An 18,674-nucleotide genomic window follows, 5' to 3' on the forward strand; every position below is an offset into this window, starting at 1 on the left:
CTGAGGACACTTGCTATGTGGCGTGGTGGATGGTGGGTAAGTCCTGGGAATTTCTGGCACCAGGTTCCATGGGTGGGAAGGGGCATAGGATTCAGTTGTCCAAAGCTCAGGTGTGGGAATGGAACTGTCCTGTAGAGGGTGCCAAAGACCAGGTCTGGAAACTGCATAGCCCCAGTCCCCACCCCCACACACACCATCCCACCCCTTCCAGCTTTTTCTGCAGATCTTTCTGCAGGGGTGAGGCAGGGAGAGGAAGGGGTCGGCCGCAGTTCCGGGGCTTCCTAGTCAGAAGCCCTCTGTAAGGCACTAACTTCCCTCTTCCCTCTGCAGATTTTTTTTTTTTTTTTTTGAGACGGAGTCCCACTCCACCCAGGCTGGAGTGCAGTGGCACAATCTTGTCTCACCACAGTCTCTGCCACCCAGTTCAAGTGATTCTCCTGCCTCAGCCTCCCAAGTAGCTGGGATTACAGGCATGCACCACCAAGCCCAGCTAGTTTTTTTGGATTTTTAGTAAAGACAGGGTGTCACCATATTGGTCAGGCTGGTTTCGAACTCCTGACCTCAGGTAATCCACCCGCCTCGGCCTCCCAAAGTACTGGGATTATAGGTGTGAGCCACTGTGCCCGGCCTCCCTCTGCAGATTCTACGTGGGCTCTAAGCAGCCTCTAAATTGCCTGAACACCTAAGGCTTATTTGCTAGTTGACATCTGATCTATTCTGACACTGAAAATTTCAGTGCTTTAGGGTGCTAAAAGGAAAAAAGAGGGTTTGCAAGGAATCCTGCAGTTGCTGAGGGGGACCCTGATAAGGGAATTTTAAGCAATTATAGTAAGTGTCACTAAACTTTTTAAAAAATCTTTAACCAGATTAAACTTACACAATTTTGTTATAATTTGTGTTTCTGCAGCTTCCAATTGTGGACAAGATAAGGACCATTGCCCAGGCTGTCTATGGAGCCAAAGATATCGAACTCTGTCCTGAGGCACAAGTCAAAATAGATCGTTACACTCAGCAGGTAAAAGTTGTAATTTTAGGGGAAAAGAAAAAATTCACCTTAGGCTCTCAGAATACTCAGCTTGACTTGAGGATTTGTACATGTCTCACCAGCTAACCTCTGCTTAATCTATTTTCTGATTAACAAAGATGAAAGCAATATCCTCGGGTAGAGTGTACACTATATTTAGAACTTTATGGTGAGGCATGTATCCTCTGATCCATGCACCATTTACTTCTGTGACTATAAATGTGTCTGATATGGGTGGTATCCCTGTTTGTAGGTGATGTGTGATCTTTCATCCCTCCCACTCAGCCCAGAATGTTGAAACTATCCTTTGGAGTAGAGCTGCGGAGTCAGATTTACATGAATTGCAATGCTTCCTCTTCCTTACAGGCCTCTTACTACCTTAAAAATGCTAGCAAGGTGCCAGGGTAGGCAGATAGGAGTGCAACCTATAAAGATGGGAACGTTTGCTGTTCTTATGCAAGCGGTTCATTGGCTTTTTACTGAGCTGGTCCACTGAGGTTGAAGGCTCCATCATCTTCTACCTCTAGCCACTGAGAAAGGCAAGTAGGCAAACAGCTGGGAAGGTGGCTATGATCTGACAGCATGTGTCATCACCTAGTCCAGTGACAGTCATGATGAATCAACTCCATTACAGGAGGCTCAGCCACCTTTTACCAAAAGGACCATGTGCCTCCAGTGTCCCTCCTACTTTGGTGTAATCAGATAGATAGAAGTCAGAACATTTTAAGAGCCTGCTGGCTAAAGAGCTTCATGATTGGTAGTGTTGACCTTATCTTTAAAAACAATCTCCAACTCCTTATTCTTTTTTGTAAACCCATTTGAAATTTTGTTAAATGCTACCATTGCCAGCCAGGGTATTTGTTCTCCTAGGTTTGGTAAAATAGGAACTCAGAAAGTTCTAAATTCTTAAAATTTTCCCTGATGTTCTTGGCTTACCCTTTACAAAAAGGATTCCCAAGCACTGCTCTGTGCCTAGGCATTGTGGTGAAGTTTTCATTCATGTGCAATGAACCAAGTAAAATAAGGTCATTCTCATGAGGTTGCTTTGTTTTTTTTTCCCCTGAGTTTTTAATAATGATATTTAAGACTATCATTTATTGTAATATTAAGTCTTTTCTCCTTTCAGTGTTAAAATGTTATTTCTTTTATGAAGTAATGTGGTGACAGTATATAGCATACTGGTTGGTTTCTGTTTCTTTTTAATATGCCTACTGACAAAATTTTTACATTAGCAAACCTATAGAAATTACTTTAATATTTAACCATGTCTGAAATTCAAAATTCTGGCACCATTCTGAAAGGCAGTTGTGATTCTCACTCAGCAAAATTCTTATCAGTATAGAAGAGTGGAGATTTCAAAAAGAAAATGGCCCCAAGCCCAAGTCCTCCCTAAGTTGATAAGACTCTAAGATCTTCCAAATAGTTTTAGGCTAAGTCTTATGAAAATTTGACTAAAGATTTCATTCCCTTTATCTCTATCAAGGAAATACTCCTTAAAACTCGTGTCAACCAGGCATGGTGCTCACACCTGTAATCCCAGCACTTTGTTGGGGCAAGGCAGAGGATCAGTTGAAGCCAGGAGTTGAGACCACTCTGAGCAACATAGCAAAACCTCCATCTCTATTTTTATTTTTTTAAAAGTTAGTGCCAAGTATGTGGTTGCAATGAATTAGCAAAGCCTCTAAAGGAACACTGTGTGCCATTTAATCAGAAACAGGCTTAGAGGACACTGTGCTTTTTGTGAGACACCACATGTGACTTCCTGATCTTTCACCTTTGGAACTCTGGGTCAGACATAGACTTTGGTCCTTAAAAACAAGAAGCTTAAATAGTGACCTCATCTTAGTTCTTGTAATGTAGTTGCAGATCAAATAACCATGATTCATAAACCAACACAAAGGAACCCTTTGCTTCTTGACTGACTCCAGAATGAGTGAACAACATAACTAAGAGCCTAGTCGCAGAGCCTTTCTCCAGATTACCTTGCTGGGTCCCAGATATTAATAGTCTTGGAAAGCGGTTTCTACAGCTGCTGCTTTGCCTGAAAATAGCAATGCTTTTCCCAAACATGCACATAACACTGCCTTCTCTTAACGAGACCTCCAAAATAAACAATAGTCACCCTTGACCTACTAAACAGTCATCACATGGAGATGAGTTTTTATCCTCACCTTCTTGCTTCTTCAGTGAACAAGTAGTAACAAGCAGCTCCTGCGTGTGCCTCGATCTGAGCTGGCATACCATTGCTGCCGAGACTGTATAAAGTGCAAATTGAAGAACACAGGAGACTCACATCTATATCAGTGAACACATTTTCTTTCCTTTCTTACAGGGTTTTGGAAATTTGCCCATCTGCATGGCAAAGACCGATCTTTCTCTGTCTCACCAACCTGACAAAAAAGGTGTGCCAAGGGACTTCATCTTACCTATCAGTGATGTCCGGGCCAGCATAGGTGCTGGGTTCATTTACCCTTTGGTCGGAACGGTGAGTGAGTCACATTTTCCAAAATCCCTCCCCATTCTGCATTGTCGCAGTGCCTCAAATCGTTATGCTCCACCCGCTCTTTAAAAATCATGGATTAGGGAGAATTGGGAGTAATTAATAGTACAGTATTCGCTATTTTTCTAAACACTCTGTCTCACCTACCTTTGCCATTGTGGTTTGGGTTTTTCTTTTTTTAGATCATGTGTTCAGGATCCTTAGAGTCATAATACTAATTTCCTTCCTAAGGCAAGTAAGAACATAACTTGGGAGAATTCAGTCTATTTAAATGGTAGAATGGCTTAGGACAGTGGTTGTCAACCTTTATCACACATAGCACCCAAAATGATGTAATCAGTAGGGTTGAATGCTCACACCAGACAGGATCTGCCCAGTCACCACAAGGGCTGGGGAAAGCAGTCCTCACCCTCTCACTTCCCCAGCACATCAGGTGGGAAGTTCTGGCTTAGGAAATTACTGAATCATATGAATTCTCATTTTTGATGTTGTTGTGATGGGATTATGTTGCTATTGGTTGATTATTCTGTTATTTTGTGTTATCTATGGAGGTAAAGGAGATGAGCAGAGATATAAAAGCTTATCAAAGTGCTTAAAATCCATGAAGATTGGCTTCATTTGGTATAGCTACACAGTGATAGCCTTCCATTGGTACCATCAGTGGCCTAAATTTGATTTCTTGTCTTTGGGAGTGCTCCTGAATTTGGTTTAGAATAAAAAAGAATTCTTAAAACCTGGCAGATCCCATGGCAAGAAAAGAAAAAAAATTCTAACCCATCATTATCATCATCATTAGTGCAAAGTGATCTGAGCTTAAACAGCATACATTATAATAATTTTTTATAATAAACCATGTGGCTCTATTGTGCAAACAAGCAATAGACAGACAAAAAGTGCAGATTCTTGCCTTGATATTTACATACTTCATCTAATATTGGACACAATGTTTTTTCAATCAGCATCATTTGAATTCTTCCTGCATGTGAGGCACAGAGATTTTAAGATGAGCAGGTGTGAGATGCATGGATTTGAATAGCATAGAGGTATCTGGAGAGCATTGTGTTGGTATTCTGAATGCCCTCAGATCCCAGGGGGATAACAGCTCATTATGCCTGGGGTAGAACTTACCTGGGCTGTGGAAGAAGAGGGGATTCTTCAAAAAGGGCTCAACCTCTGAACTGGCAAAACAGTGAGTTTTGACTCAAAGGCACCAGAGTACTAATACATGACATCCTCTCCTGGGGTGATCCAATGTGGCTGGAGTTGGATGAGGTGGGGAGGCTGGGGATGGGAATGGGAATGGGATTGGGATAGCAGGACGGGGTCACATGGCCAAGGATCTTGAAGACCATCTCACGGAACTTGAGTCTGATCTCTACACACTGAGGAGCCACGGTAGGGTGGGTTTTTTGTTTGTTTCTTGGTTTTTTATTTTTTTGATTTTTTGTTTTTAAATAAGGAGGAGAAGAATGTGGTCTGATGTGTATTTTAGAAAAATAGCTCTGGCAGCAATGTGGAGAATGTTTAGTGAAAAGAGAACCAGGCCCAGATAGGTGGGTTAATTCAGCTGGGGCCAGAGGAAATCAAGGTCTGCACTTTGGCCACAGAAGTAGATACGGAGAGTGGGGGTGAATTGCAGACATACTCTAAAAGTATCCTCCTACAGTAGGGGCCGGGTGAAGGGACTGTTCTAGCTTGGTGACTGGCTGGTGATGCCATCACCGTGTCATGGAAAGGACACGGGAGGAGGCAGATTGGCCAAGCCAGAAATGAGCCTGGCTTGAAGAGAGAGAGCTCAGAGGGTTAATAGGATCTAAGGAACAGTCTGTGTCTCCACTGGAAATACAGATACAGCTCTCCAAAGAAAGGGGAAGGAAGGTCGCCCTGGTGGGTTTAAGGATATGGGTGAAGGCACTCATTAAACAAGAGACACAGGGATAGCTGGAAATCAGTGAGAAGAGAGTAAAGGAAGACACCCCTGAAACACCCACTTTAATGCAGCCGACTCCTGGCAGGGGTGCCTTCCAGAAGGCAGGAAGGAAGGAGCAGGGGCATGGCAGAGAACGTCCAGAAAAATCCCACAGACACCGCTCACAGCAATGTTGACACAGAGAGAAGGGTCCAGATGAAATGGGTTCTGAATGACATTTTCAGGTCTACAGTTCAGATCAGCAGTTGCCAGGAGTTGGGGGAGGGAAGTGTTTGACTGCAGAGGGGCAGGAGGGAACTTTTTGGGATAATGGAAATATCCTATGTTTTGACATGGTAGTGATTCCATGGCTATATACATTCTTCCAGACTCATAGACCTATACACGTGTGTTGCCCAGGCTGGACTCAAACTCCTGATCTCAAGCAATCCTCCCACCTCAGCTTCCCAAGTTGCTGTGACTATAGGTTCGTGCCACTGTGCTGGGCCTGTGTATCATTTAGTTATACCTCAGTTAAAAATGGGTACTGAAGAGCTTGCTGTATATTCCTTAGAATGGCCTCAGTCAGCCGGGTGCAGTGGCTCACGCCTGTAATCCCAGCACTTTGGGAGGCCAAGTTGGGCGGATCACAAGGTCAGGAGTTGGAGACCTGCCTGGCCAAAAGGGTGAAACCCCATCTCTACTAAAAATACAAAAATTTGCTGGGCATGGTGGCGGGCACCTGTAATTCCAGCTACTCGGGAGGCTGAGGCAGGAGAATTGCTTGAACCTGGGAGGCAGAGGTTGCAGTAAGCCAAGACTGCGCCATTGTGCTTCAGCCCGGGTGACAGAGCAAGACTCCATCTCTAAATACATACATACATACATACATACATAGAATGGCCTCAGTGATGGCCACTTTACTCCTGAGCTTTAGTTGGCAAAGGCCTTGGCTTAGGGATAAGAGGGTGGCTGGACAGTGCAGGCCCAGAGAGACTGGACCATCAGGGGAAGTGAGGGGTGACGGAGGTGCCCAAACAGAGCATGAAATGGTAGAGTAGATGAGAAGGTTAGCCTCGATCACGATCTGTTCTGTCCTACCCTCTGCGGACTCTAAACCCCGCAGCAGTTCACCCAACAAATTCATTCACTCGGCCAATGCTGCATAAGGCACTCAGCTCGGGGCTACAGGAAGCCCCAACCTAAAGAAGCTTTCTCTGCTTCAGGTAGTTTACAGCTGGTAGACGCAGATAGAAGTGAATTAGCAAAGAAAATAGTTTGATATAAAAATTGTGCATTTAACTGCAACCTTAATTCACTTCTGAGCATTTAATAGCCATTAAACAAAAACCAGGGCCCACACAGTGGTTCACACTTACAATCCAAGCACTTTTGGAAGCCAAGGTAGAAGGATTGCTTCAGGCCAGGAGTTCAAGACCAGCCTGGGCAACATAGCCAGACTGTGTCTCTACTTAAACCAAAATTAGCCAGGAGTCATGGCACACACCTGGAGTCCCAGCTACTCAGGAGGCTGAAATGGGAGGATTACTTGAGCCCAGGAGTTTGAGGCTACACTGACCTATGATCATATCATTGCACTCCAGCCTGGGAGATAGAGTGAGACCTCTGTCTCTAAAAAAATGGAATAAAATAATAAAAAACACAATATAATTTAAAATCTTTGGAGTCACTAAACAAATATACAATGTGAATCTCCTCCCACTCCAGCTAACACTACCATATCCAACATCAGGTAAAGACCAAAGCCGTTCTGGGAAATCAGAATCTGTTGCCATGGCTCATGCCTGGACACCAGGCTGTCCGCTCCTGATGTCACTCTTTGACTTATGACTTGTTAGAAAATGAATGCGTGGAATGGCCCTGGAGGAGCCGCTGCAGCTCTCTGGGTTTCCTGAAGTGAGCCCTCTGTGTCATTATCTGGTCTTCTCAGCCCTCAGCCGAGTTCCTCCTGTGGCCACATGTGGGGTCGCAGTGAGCATCAGTGCACAGTGATGAAATCTGGAACAATCGGGTGTGGGGTGTGAGGGAAGGGAGTGGTGCCTGACTACAGAAGTTCCTGGAGGTCAGGAAACTCTCACTGGAGGCGGTGGCCCTAGAGGGCTGCTTTCTATGACAGAGCAGGAAGCTGCATGTGTAGTGGGACACATGCATCAGAGGGGCCAGGATCTCCTAATAAGGACTGGTATTTACTTTTACTTGAACCCATTCTGGGCCTTACCACAGTCTGCTGAAATGCCTTGAACATTCATCACCCATGTGGGAGACAGGATAGTAATTTCCTGCTGAGATGACTGAGGGGACAGGGAATGGGGACACCAGGGGGACTGGCTCCTGCAGGTGGGAAAATTCTAGCAAAACGAATCACTCTTCTGCTTAGTCACCCAATGTGCGCTTATTAGAGTGCTGCTGAAAAACATATTCGTCTATCCACTCCAGAAAGATAGTCCAAACTGAGACCTCAAGATCAGAAAGGCTCCCAATCTCCTGCAGGGTTCATTCATTTACTCAGTGAATTATTAAATGCCTACAGCACGCAGGGCCATCAGCCCAACGGCTATGAGAAAGAGATTCAGTCCTTTCCTCACAGGCCTTATGATAGACTCCAGTAAATAAAACAATACAGGCACAGAATGTGGCAGGCTTTATAAGAAAGCCTCTCTTGTTGTGTCCTCAAGGGAAGCAGAGAATCTCCTCTCTGGCTCTAGTTGGAGAATCCCAACCCAAGCAAGTCCATCTTTGAACAATAAACATCTCCAGTATTGCTGGCTTTGGAAGACCCCATGGTGAGATGCTGGAGCTTTTTTCCACTCCTGATTTCACTTTCTAAATATTTACTTTTACTTTCCATGTTCACTTGTAGGCCAGATTTTTTTTCCTACCATTGAATTATTTCATCATGTTCTATTTAATTATTGTTTTAATTGGCATTGGTGACCACAAATAATAATAAATACTATTAACTGGTGTAACAGCTTCACTAGTCTATTTAACTTCCCCATGCTGTTGTAACTGAAGCACCCAGCACAAGCATTCCCAGCTCGTGGACGTCTAAGACCTTTGAGGTCATTCTTACATGCATTGCTAGTGTTTTCCATATTCCTTGATGGTAACCAATTTTTCCTTCCTAAAATAACTTTCTTCATTCCTAGTAAGCTTCATATGTATTTTGTGTATTCTTCCCTCTTTTTTATGACATTATACATATTATTGAAAGCTAGAAAATAATACAAGATGCTTGACTGACATAATACCACTTAGTACATCTTTTTGTAAGAAATAGATTTTCTAATACAAATCTTTGATATAGGAAGAAATGAGCAAGTTGTTTTTTAAGGTTTTCCAACCCTATATTCTACTACAAATTACCCTGTTATAGTATGCTTCCAAAATTCTTTCAAGGATTACAGTTTATAGTGTTCAATAAACCTAATAGTTTATAAAACTTCTCAAAAAGTAATCTCATGCCAAAAATAATTTAGTAGTAGGTGGTCTTTGTCTTGTGGTCACATTGTTTTGATATTGTCTTTAAGTTTCTGTAATTTACAAGGGCCGTTTAATCAGTTGGCATAAATTTCATGACAAAAATGCTAATATGTAAGCAAAGTATATGAAATGATATTTTTGAGAAGTAAATTACATTCCATATAGAAAAAGACTAGAAAGACTACACCAAAACCTTAAATTAGACAGTGATATTATAAGTAGCTTTTTTTCTTCTCTTTTTTGTATAGATCAAATTACTACGTTGGGTGTATATCACTTTTATAACATGAAAATACAGTAAATAGGGCGATGATAAACTGCAAGTGCTTGGGGAGAAGGCTTAACTCAGGCCACTTGCAAGAGAGTGAGAACACACACGCAGCCTGTGGGAGCGGGCTCCGTGCCGTCACCTGGCCGGTCCTGGCTGTGTTGCTGTGTTTTCGCACCTCAAAAGTTGGGACAGCAAGGAAAGGCCATAAGAGCTAGAATGTTTCTATAAGAAGTGTATTCAGTATGATTTGTCTAGCTCTGACTAATGTGTGCAAACCCCAGATTCCACTAAGCAAATGCAAGATTGTTTTTCCCTGTTAATTTGTTCCTGGGCCCTTCTTGCTTACTGTGTTGGGCATTGGAGAGGGGGTGATTGACTTCGTTCTTCTCACAGTGTTTTCTCTCGCTCTTTTTTTTTTTTTTTTTTTTTGAGACAGAGTATTGCTCTGTCACCCAGGCTGGAGTGCAGTAGCATGATCTCGGCTCACTGCAACCTCCGCCTTCCAGGTTCAAGTGATACTCCTGCCTCAGCCTCCCAAGTAGCGTGGACTACAAGTGCAAGCCACCATATCTGGCTCAATTTTTATATTTTTCATAGAGACTGGGGTCTCACCATATTGGCTGGGCTGTTCTCAAACTCCTGACTTCAAGTAAGCCACCGTGCCCAGCCATCTCTCACAGTGTTTTTTAAAACAACAATGCATTTTCACAACAGTTGGCCTGGAGAAGTGTCCAACCAAGTTGGAATTCATAGCAGATATCCATTTGAAGTTAATTTTTGGTGTATTTGACTGTTTTCCATTGACTTCACATTGAGGCAGTGAGAGAGACTTGAAGAACTTAGAATATGAACCCTTTTCTCACTGGCAAACATGGGACATAGAGGCATGTCTTGACAGCAATTTATGGCAACACTCTGGGCTGGAATCTAGGGGTTAGGCAGCCTGGCCGGTTTTGTAAATTAGCCAGGCCACCCTCAGAGTCAGTTTGAGGGTTTAGTGGGAAGCCTGAATAAAAAGAGAAGTTAAACTTTTAAGAAAAGGGTCAAGCTTTAAAACTGGAATTGGCTTTTCAAATTTAATGAGTAAAAAGAAACCCCAAAACTGGAATTGTAATTGTGGAGAAGTACAAATTATAGTATTTGGAATATCATCTACAAGGAATGAAACTATTCAGAAGCATTTAGATGGTAGTCATTGATTGTAGGGCATCTCTGGGGGCAGGGTGGCTCCTGGCACTGTAGAGAAAGACCATCGGTGCTTCCGTCTCCCAGTTGGAGGAAAGGGATACACTGTGGAGGTCCCAGCAGCTTAGGGCCTGCCCCCATGTGGTTATGTCTGCATGGTTTCCTTCCCTCTGTCTTCCTGTAACTCTTTCACCCTGGCCCCTGTGCCCTTTCTGGGCAGAGGGTGACAGGAGGCACTGCATGGGTGCATTCTTTTTTTTTTTATTTTTTGAGACAGAGTCTTACTCTGTTGCCTGGGCTGGAGTGCAGTGGTGTGATCTCGGCTCACTGCAACCTCCATCTCCCGGGTTCAAGCGATTCTCCTGCCTCAGCTTCCCGAGTAGCTGGGATTACAGGCAGCCACCACTACGCCCAGCTAATTTTTTCCAATTTTAGTAGAGACGGGGTTTCACCACATTGTTCAGGCTGGTCTCAAACTCCTGACCTCGTGATTCACCCGCCTCAACCTCCCAACGTGCTGGGATTATAGGTGTGAGCCACCGCCCCCGGCCAAGTACATGCTTTTTTTCCTCTTGTTGGGATTGGCCTGGGCTATACCTATCTCATGGTGGAAGCCTGCCTAGGGACCAGGCCCTAGAAGACCAGCAGTTTATTTAACTGGGTTGGCTTTTGTCCCCACTCCCTGTGACCCAGCCCTGCCATATCTTTACCCAGGTGCACCACTGACATCATTGCTCGGCTGGACTCTGGAAAGCAGGAAATTGCTGGAGCATGTTTGGGGCATCAGTGATGTCACCCGCTACGAATGCCGGGTGGGGTTACTGGACTGAGGGCCATGAAAAAAGAAAGCTGCGGCCCTGCCCCGTGGACTCACTGCCATTCTGTTCTTTCTCACGTTTCAGTTCAGCTCACTTTGTTTTCCGTCCCCCTCCCTCTACTGTAAAAGTATGTACTCAGTGTTTCATTTCCTGCTGGATCTGATTCAGGTCAGTGATGAAGTTCTTTGCGAGCTCAGTGGGGAGGCGTTTCCTCCCTTTCATACCGGCCCTGCTTAGGGATGCATGGTTGGTTATATACTTGCTTCACTCAGTTAGGCATGGAGGAGAATTCCTTCAGACCTCATAGGTTTAAATCAAATGCATGACCCTTCACATTTTCCAGAGATTTAGACAGTTACAGTGAGACAATTAAACATTCACCCCCCAAGCTGCACTTGGAGATGTGTAAGCAGTAATGTAGTCATGCGCTCCCCATGATATGAGAGTGTGCAGAATGCCACTCCCCACAGCAGGTCCACCAGGACCTCCTCAGGGAGCATCTTGCCTACAAAATCACCCATCCCTTTTTCCCCACTCTCTTCACTTACCCTACGTTTCCACTCCCACACCCACAAATAAACAAAGAAACTTTGAGCTTATTTTACAAAAGTCTTTGAAATGGCCCTCCTCTCTCCGATGCTCCTGGGCCCTGGTTTGGCCCCATCTGTGCAGTTTCTCTGATGAGTGTGAAATAAGCCAGGTTTGGCTCATGCTCTCCCTGTGAGCTTGCTCTCCCCGTGAGCCTGCCCTCTCCATCTGGCCTCACTTTGTTTGTGTCCCTGTGTCCTTTGTCTCTGATCCTGGGATCCTGGTGGTTTCCTCCTCCCCGCCCAGCTTGGATCCTTTTCCCCAGGGTTCTTCCCTATCTCTACATCAGAATTTCCTGCTTTCTCCCAAATATGCATTTCCCTGGCCCAGGCATCCATTGCTTCCTCTCATCGTGAGGTCCCTGCAGCAGGCTGCCGATGGTGTTGTGGCCATGCCTTCCTCCACAACCCAGGGAAAGCTACATGTGTGTCTGTCCCATAGGGAAGGAGTCATCCCTGTCTCTTCAGTGTGGCATGTTCAGGAGGAAGGAAAGTAACCAGCGTCGTTCTCAATTTCCGGAAACTGTTTATCATACTGACAAGAAGAAGAAAGCTTTGTGACTCATGAGAATGATGTTTTCCTCTCTGGTACATAAGGTTATGTAGGTCCAATCCATTGTGTAGAGGATCTTTTCTCCCTTAATGGGATGTACACTTATTTTTAGCACAAGTATAAAACTACTTTAAATGAAATCAGCCTCAGCCAGGGAAATATGCTGAGTAATAATGTTGCCAGGTACTATACCACTGAGTTGAGTTTGCAGTTCACTGCTATTAATCCCTGCGTGGTAGTTCTGAATTTTTACTCTTTGCATACATAGAAAAATGGTGTTTCTCTTCAGAGTCAAGGAGGGAAAAAAGAAAAGATAAAAGACGCTTATAACACTTTTGTGTCCACCCCTAAAATCAGCATATTGATCTACTATTTTTCTAGGTATTGATGGAATATTGACTCATATACTTTCATACAACTGGTAATATATATATATATATATATATATATATATAGACTCATTTTTCTTCCACTTTCATCTACAGCCTACTTGTTTTTTTCCCGCCATTTTTCATTTGGATTCATAGCAAAAATTGACAACAAAGATACATCTCAATTTAGAGCTTCCAAAAGGCACCCATAAAAGTATCTGGTGCTCATGGAACTTCTCTTTCTTCTGTGTCTCTTAGTTACACTTTTCTCTTATTACACTTTTCTATCCAGCCGTGGCTAAGAGGCATATAATCAGAAGCAGCTAAGCAATGTATGCAAGGGAAATAAAATGAACGCAAACCAAGATAACCGGTTTTGTAAATTAGATAGCAAGGCCACCCTCAGTGTCAGTTTGAGGGTTTCGTGGGAAGCCTAAGAAATATAACTGATATAACTGATATATTATCAGTTATAAAAAAAGTTATAAGAAAAGGGTCAAGCTTTAAAACTGGAATTGGCTTTTCAAATTTAATGAGCAAAAAGAAATCCCAAAACTGGAATTGTAATTGTGGAGAAATAGAACTGATAATATCTGGAACTTACAGCAGTTTACAGGCTTAACTATGTATGTGTTCCTTAAATTATCCACCCGCAGATATCAGATTACAAGAAGTCCTCACTTAATGTCATTGATAGGTTCTTGGAAACTACCACTTTAAGCAAAAGGACATAATGCATACAAAACCAATTTTCCCAGAGTCTAATTGATAGGAAAAAGAGTTGAGTTATGAAGCCACACAGTACCTCGTTTGGCTTAAAGTCACTGTTTCCAAGAACATATCCACAATGTTAAGTAAGGACTTACTGTAAATGAAAATATTTGCAGTAAATCGCTTTTGAGAGAATTGGTTATCACACTCTTCTCTGGGTATCACTGAAAATTCAGAATGTTTAGTTACATCAGGCTATACTCACTGGTATGAAATCAGGGAGCAAGTATAAAGTAGGTGTAGGGAAATAATTTATGTTGGATTAAATGATCCAATGAAGGAATTTTATTAAGCCCCTAGAAATCCCAGAATGAAAATGTATAACTGCATGACTAACCCCTGTAAGAATTTGCTGGGGTTTCTGCATTAAGTACGCTTCCCAGGCCATTTGTAATGAAGGTACCGTGATCTGTTAAGGAAGAGACCTACACCTGGGAACATAAACAGCCAATTCCATCCTGGACATCAGTCTCCTGTTTGACTCATTCCAACCCCAAGAATATGTTGTAGAGTGTAGGACCCATGAAAGTTACCTACTGTGCTTCCCTGTACCTTCCATCATCCAGTTCCCAAACATACCTGTGTTTCTTCTCTGAATGCATAGTTACTTGGGATCCCATGTTGTATTAGTCTGTTCTCACACTGCTGTAAAAAACTACTTGAGAGTGGATAGTTTATAAAGAAACAAGGTTTAATTGACTCAGTTTTGCAGGCTATACAGGAGGCATGGCTGGGGAGGCCTCAGGAAACTTACAATCATGGGGAAGGCAAAGGGGAAACAAGTACATATTCACATGGCGGCAGGAAAGAGAGAGAGTGAAGGGGCAGTTCCACACACTTTTAAACAACCAGATCTCATGAGAACTCACTAGCACGAGAAAAACAAGGGGGAAATTCATCCCCATGATACAGTCACCTCCCACCAGGCCCCTCCTCCAACACTGAAGCTCATAATTCATGAGATTTGGCTGGGGACACAGCGCCAAACCATATCATATGCCTTTCCCAGGACTGGTGTTGGAGGAACAGTGCCTTTGTCACACCTACCAGAATATACTCACCCACTTCCAGACACTCCATTTCTCTTTCAAGCACACCTCCTCACTTGTGCCGCCAGCTAAGGTTTACTGCAGTTACTTCCTTTGTGTGTCCTCTTACCTTACCAAGTCGCCTCACCCACCATCTACTGTTAATTAAATTACCACCTCCCCCACTTCCCCACCTCCAGAGTAGAGACTGTGTCTTCAGTTCTCTTGGCCTTCCCACAATGGGAAGTCTGGTGTGGAACATACCCTAGGAGCCAACTAAATGTGGTAGTGGCCTGCCAACCCTGCAGAGGGCTAGCAAATCTTCAGGGAGTCTGCTGCCGGTGGAAACTCACCAGTACTAGAATCCCAGGCTCCAAAGAAGTTTAGAAAAGTACGTCTTTTAAGGAGCTAATAAGAGGTTCAAGTTTCCACAAATCCTATCTGCTCTTGGCCTAGTTCTTTTGGGATCAGTGTGCTAGTCTCTCTTCTCAAACTAGTTACTGACCAGCAAGACTAAAAAACCAGGCCCAAACACATTCTATTCATGTGCTTAGATATAGACCTATGGATCAAATATCCCACTATAAAGCAAAAAAGCAAACTGTTTTTCCCTTGTACTCTCACACTCAACAATAGCACACTTCTGTGGCTGGCTGTGTGGGGGCTTTTCCTTACACACCAAACATTTCTCACAGAGACCAACTGGGTGTCCTCTTATTCAATTCAATCCTGACACTGTCTACCTGCAGATAGTGTCCAATCCCACAGATTGACGGCTTGATCCCATGAGACCAGCCCCACTTCAGGTACTAATTCCAAGTCCAGGCGACGCATACTTCTGACTGCCTGGCTAAAAACTACATCCACGGCCGGTCATGGTGGTCCACGCCTGTAATCCCAGCACTTTGGGAGACCAAGGCGGGTGGATCACTTGAGATCAGGGGTTTGAGACCAGCCTGGCCAACATGGTGAAACCCTGTCTCTATTAAAAATACAAAAATTAAGCTGGGCACGGTGGCTCACACCAGTAATCCCAGCACTTTGGGAGGCCGGGGCAGGCTGATCACGAGGTCAGATCAAGACCATCCTGGCTAACACGGTGAAACCCCATCTCTACTAAAAATACAAAAAAAAAAAAAATTAGCCAGGCATGGTGGCCGACGCCTGTAGTCCCAGCTACTTGGAAGACTGAGGCAGGAGAATGGCCTGAACCTGTGAGGAGGAGCTTGCAGTGAGCAGAGATCATGTCACTGCACTCCAGCCTGGGTGAGAGAGCGAGGCTCCATCTCAAAAAAATAAATAAATGAAATAAAATACAAAAATTAGCTGGGTGTGGTGGCGGGCTCCTATAAGCCCAGCTACCAGGGAGGCTGAGGCAGGAGAATTGCTTGAACCTGGGAGGCAGAGGTTGCAGTGAGTTGAGATCCTGCAACTGTACTCCAGCCTGGGAGACAGAATGAGACTCCATCTCAAAAAAAAAAAAAAAAAAAAAAAGGGTTCGCATGAGCCCCCTCCCTGGGTTCAATTAAGTTCCTAGGATGGCTCACAGAACTCAGAGAAACATTTACAGAGCTGTTATGATATATATTGATTTTCGTTATGAACATTGATGCAAAAATCCTCAATAAAATACTGGCAAAACGAATCCAGCAGCACATCAAAAAGCTTATCCACCATGATCAAGTGGGCTTCATCCCTGGGATGCAAGGCTGGTTCAATATACGCAAATCAATAAATGTAATCCAGCATATAAACAGAACCAAAGACAAAAACCACATGATTATCTCAATGGATGCAGAAAAGGCCTTTGACAAAATTCAACAACCCTTCATGCTAAAAACTCTCAATAAATTAGGTATTGATGGGACTTATTTCAAAATAATAAGAGCTATCTATGACAAACCCACAGCCAATATCATACTGAATGGGCAAAAACTGGAAGCATTCCCTTTGAAAACTGGCACAAGACAGGGATGCCCTCTCTCACCACTCTTATTCAACATAGTGATGGAAGTTCTGGCCAGGGCAATCAGGCAGGAGAAGGAAATAAAGGGTATTCAATTAGGAAAAGAGGAAGTCAAACTGTCCCTGTTTGCAGATGACATGATTGTATATCTAGAAAACCCCATTGTCTCAGCCCAAAATCTCCTTAAGCTGATAAGCAACTTCAGCAAAGTCTCAGGATACAAAATCAATGTACAAAAATCAAAAGCATTCTTATACACCACCAACAAACAAACAGAGAGCCAAATCATGAGTGAACTCCCATTCACAATTGCTTCAAAAAGAATAAAATACCTAGGAATTCAACTTACAAGGGATGTGAAGGACCTCTTCAAGGAGAACTTCAAACCACTGCTCAAGGAAATAAAAGAGGATACAAACAAATGGAAGAACATTCCATGCTCATGGGTAGGAAGAATCAATCTCGTGAAAAAGGCCATACTGCCCAAGGTAATTTACACATTCAATGCCATCCCCATCAAGCTACCAATGCCTTTCTTCACAGAATTGGAAAAAACTACTTTAAAGTTCATATGGAACCAAAAAAGAGCCCGCATCACCAAGTCAATCCTAAGCCAAAAGAACAATGCTGGAGGCATCACACTACCTGACTTCAAACTATACTACAAGGCTACAGTAACCAAAACAGCATGGTACTGGTACCAAAACAGAGTTATAGATCAATGGAACAGAACAGAGCCCTCAGAAATAACGCCACATATCTACAACTATCTGATCTTTGACAAACCTGAGAAAAACAAGCAATGGGAAAAGGATCCCCTATTTAATAAATGGTGCTGGGAAAACTGGCTAGCCATATGAAGAAAGCTGAAACTGGATCCCTTCCTTACACCTTATACAAAAATCAATTCAAGATGGATTAAAGACTTAAACGTTCAACCTAAAACCATAAAAACCCTAGAAGAAAACCTAGGCATTACCATTCAGGACATAGGCATGGGCAAGGACTTCATGTCTAAAACACCAAAAGCAATGGCAACAAAAGACAAAATTGACAAATGGGATCTAATTAAACTAAAGAGCTTCTGCCCAGCAAAAGAAACTACCATCAGAGTGAACAGGCAACCTACAAAATGGGAGAAAATTTTCACAACCTACTCTTCTGACAAAGGACAAATATCTAGAATCTACAATGAACTCAAACAAATTTACAAGAAAAAAACAAACAACCCCATCAAAAAGTGGGCGAAGGACATGAACAGACACTTCTCAAAAGAAGACATTTATGCAGCCAAAAAACACATGAAGAAATGCTCACCATCACTGGCCATCAGAGAAATGCAAATCAAAACCACAATGAGATACCATCTCACACCAGTTAGAATGGCAATCATTAAAAAGTCAGGAAACAACAGGTAATGGAGAGGATGTGGAGAAATAGGAACACTTTTACACTGTTGGTGGGACTGTAAACTAGTTCAACTACTGTGGAAGTCAGTGTGGCAATTCCTCAGGGATCTAGAACTAGAAATACCATTTGACCCAGCCATCCCATTACTGGCTATATGCCCAAAGGACTATAAATCATGCTGCTATAAAGACACATGCACACGTATGTTTATTGTGGCATTATTCACAATAGCAAAGACTTGGAACCAACCCAAATGTCCAACAATGATAGACTGGATTCAGAAAATGTGGCACATATACACCATGGAATACTATGCATCCGTAAAAAATGATGAGTTCATGTCCTTTGTAGGGACATGGATGAAATTGGAAATCATCATTCTCAGCAAACTATCGCAAGAACAAAAAACCAAACACCGCATATTCTCACTCATAGGTGGGAATTGAACAATGAGAACACATGGACACAGGAAGGGGAACATCACATTCTGTGGACTGTTGTGGGGTGGGGGGAGGGGGGAGGGATAGCATTGGGAGATATTCCTAATGCTAGATGACGAGTTAGTGGGTGCAGTGCACCAGCATGGCACATGTATACATATGTAACTAACCTGCACATTGTGCACATGTACCCTAAAACTTAAAGTATAATAATAATAATAATAAAATACATCACCAAAAAAATAAATAAATAAAGAGGGCATTATAAAAATGCCTCATGGAAAAAATATTATTTTAACAATTAGTAAAGTAAAATAAAAATTTGTGACTCATAAAG

The 18,674-nt window shown here is 43.1% G+C and overlaps 1 pseudogene across 1 annotated transcript in view; it reads left to right on the plus strand.

Annotated features, from left to right (window-relative positions):
• Window positions 1-11,820, plus strand: part of LOC102724904 (methylenetetrahydrofolate dehydrogenase (NADP+ dependent) 1 like pseudogene) — a 13,715-nt pseudogene extending 1,895 nt beyond the window's left edge. Inside the window, exons 2-4 of the transcript NR_160669.1 lie at window positions 908-1,015; window positions 3,357-3,509; window positions 11,108-11,820. The product of NR_160669.1 is annotated as a methylenetetrahydrofolate dehydrogenase (NADP+ dependent) 1 like pseudogene (transcript). The remainder of the gene's footprint in view (window positions 1-907; window positions 1,016-3,356; window positions 3,510-11,107) is intronic.
• The last annotated feature ends 6,854 nt before the right edge of the window (window positions 11,821-18,674 follow it).

This window comes from Homo sapiens, chromosome 9 (genome assembly GCF_000001405.40).
Source record: "Homo sapiens chromosome 9, GRCh38.p14 Primary Assembly".
In the NCBI taxonomy this organism is placed as follows: Eukaryota; Metazoa; Chordata; class Mammalia; order Primates; family Hominidae; genus Homo; species Homo sapiens.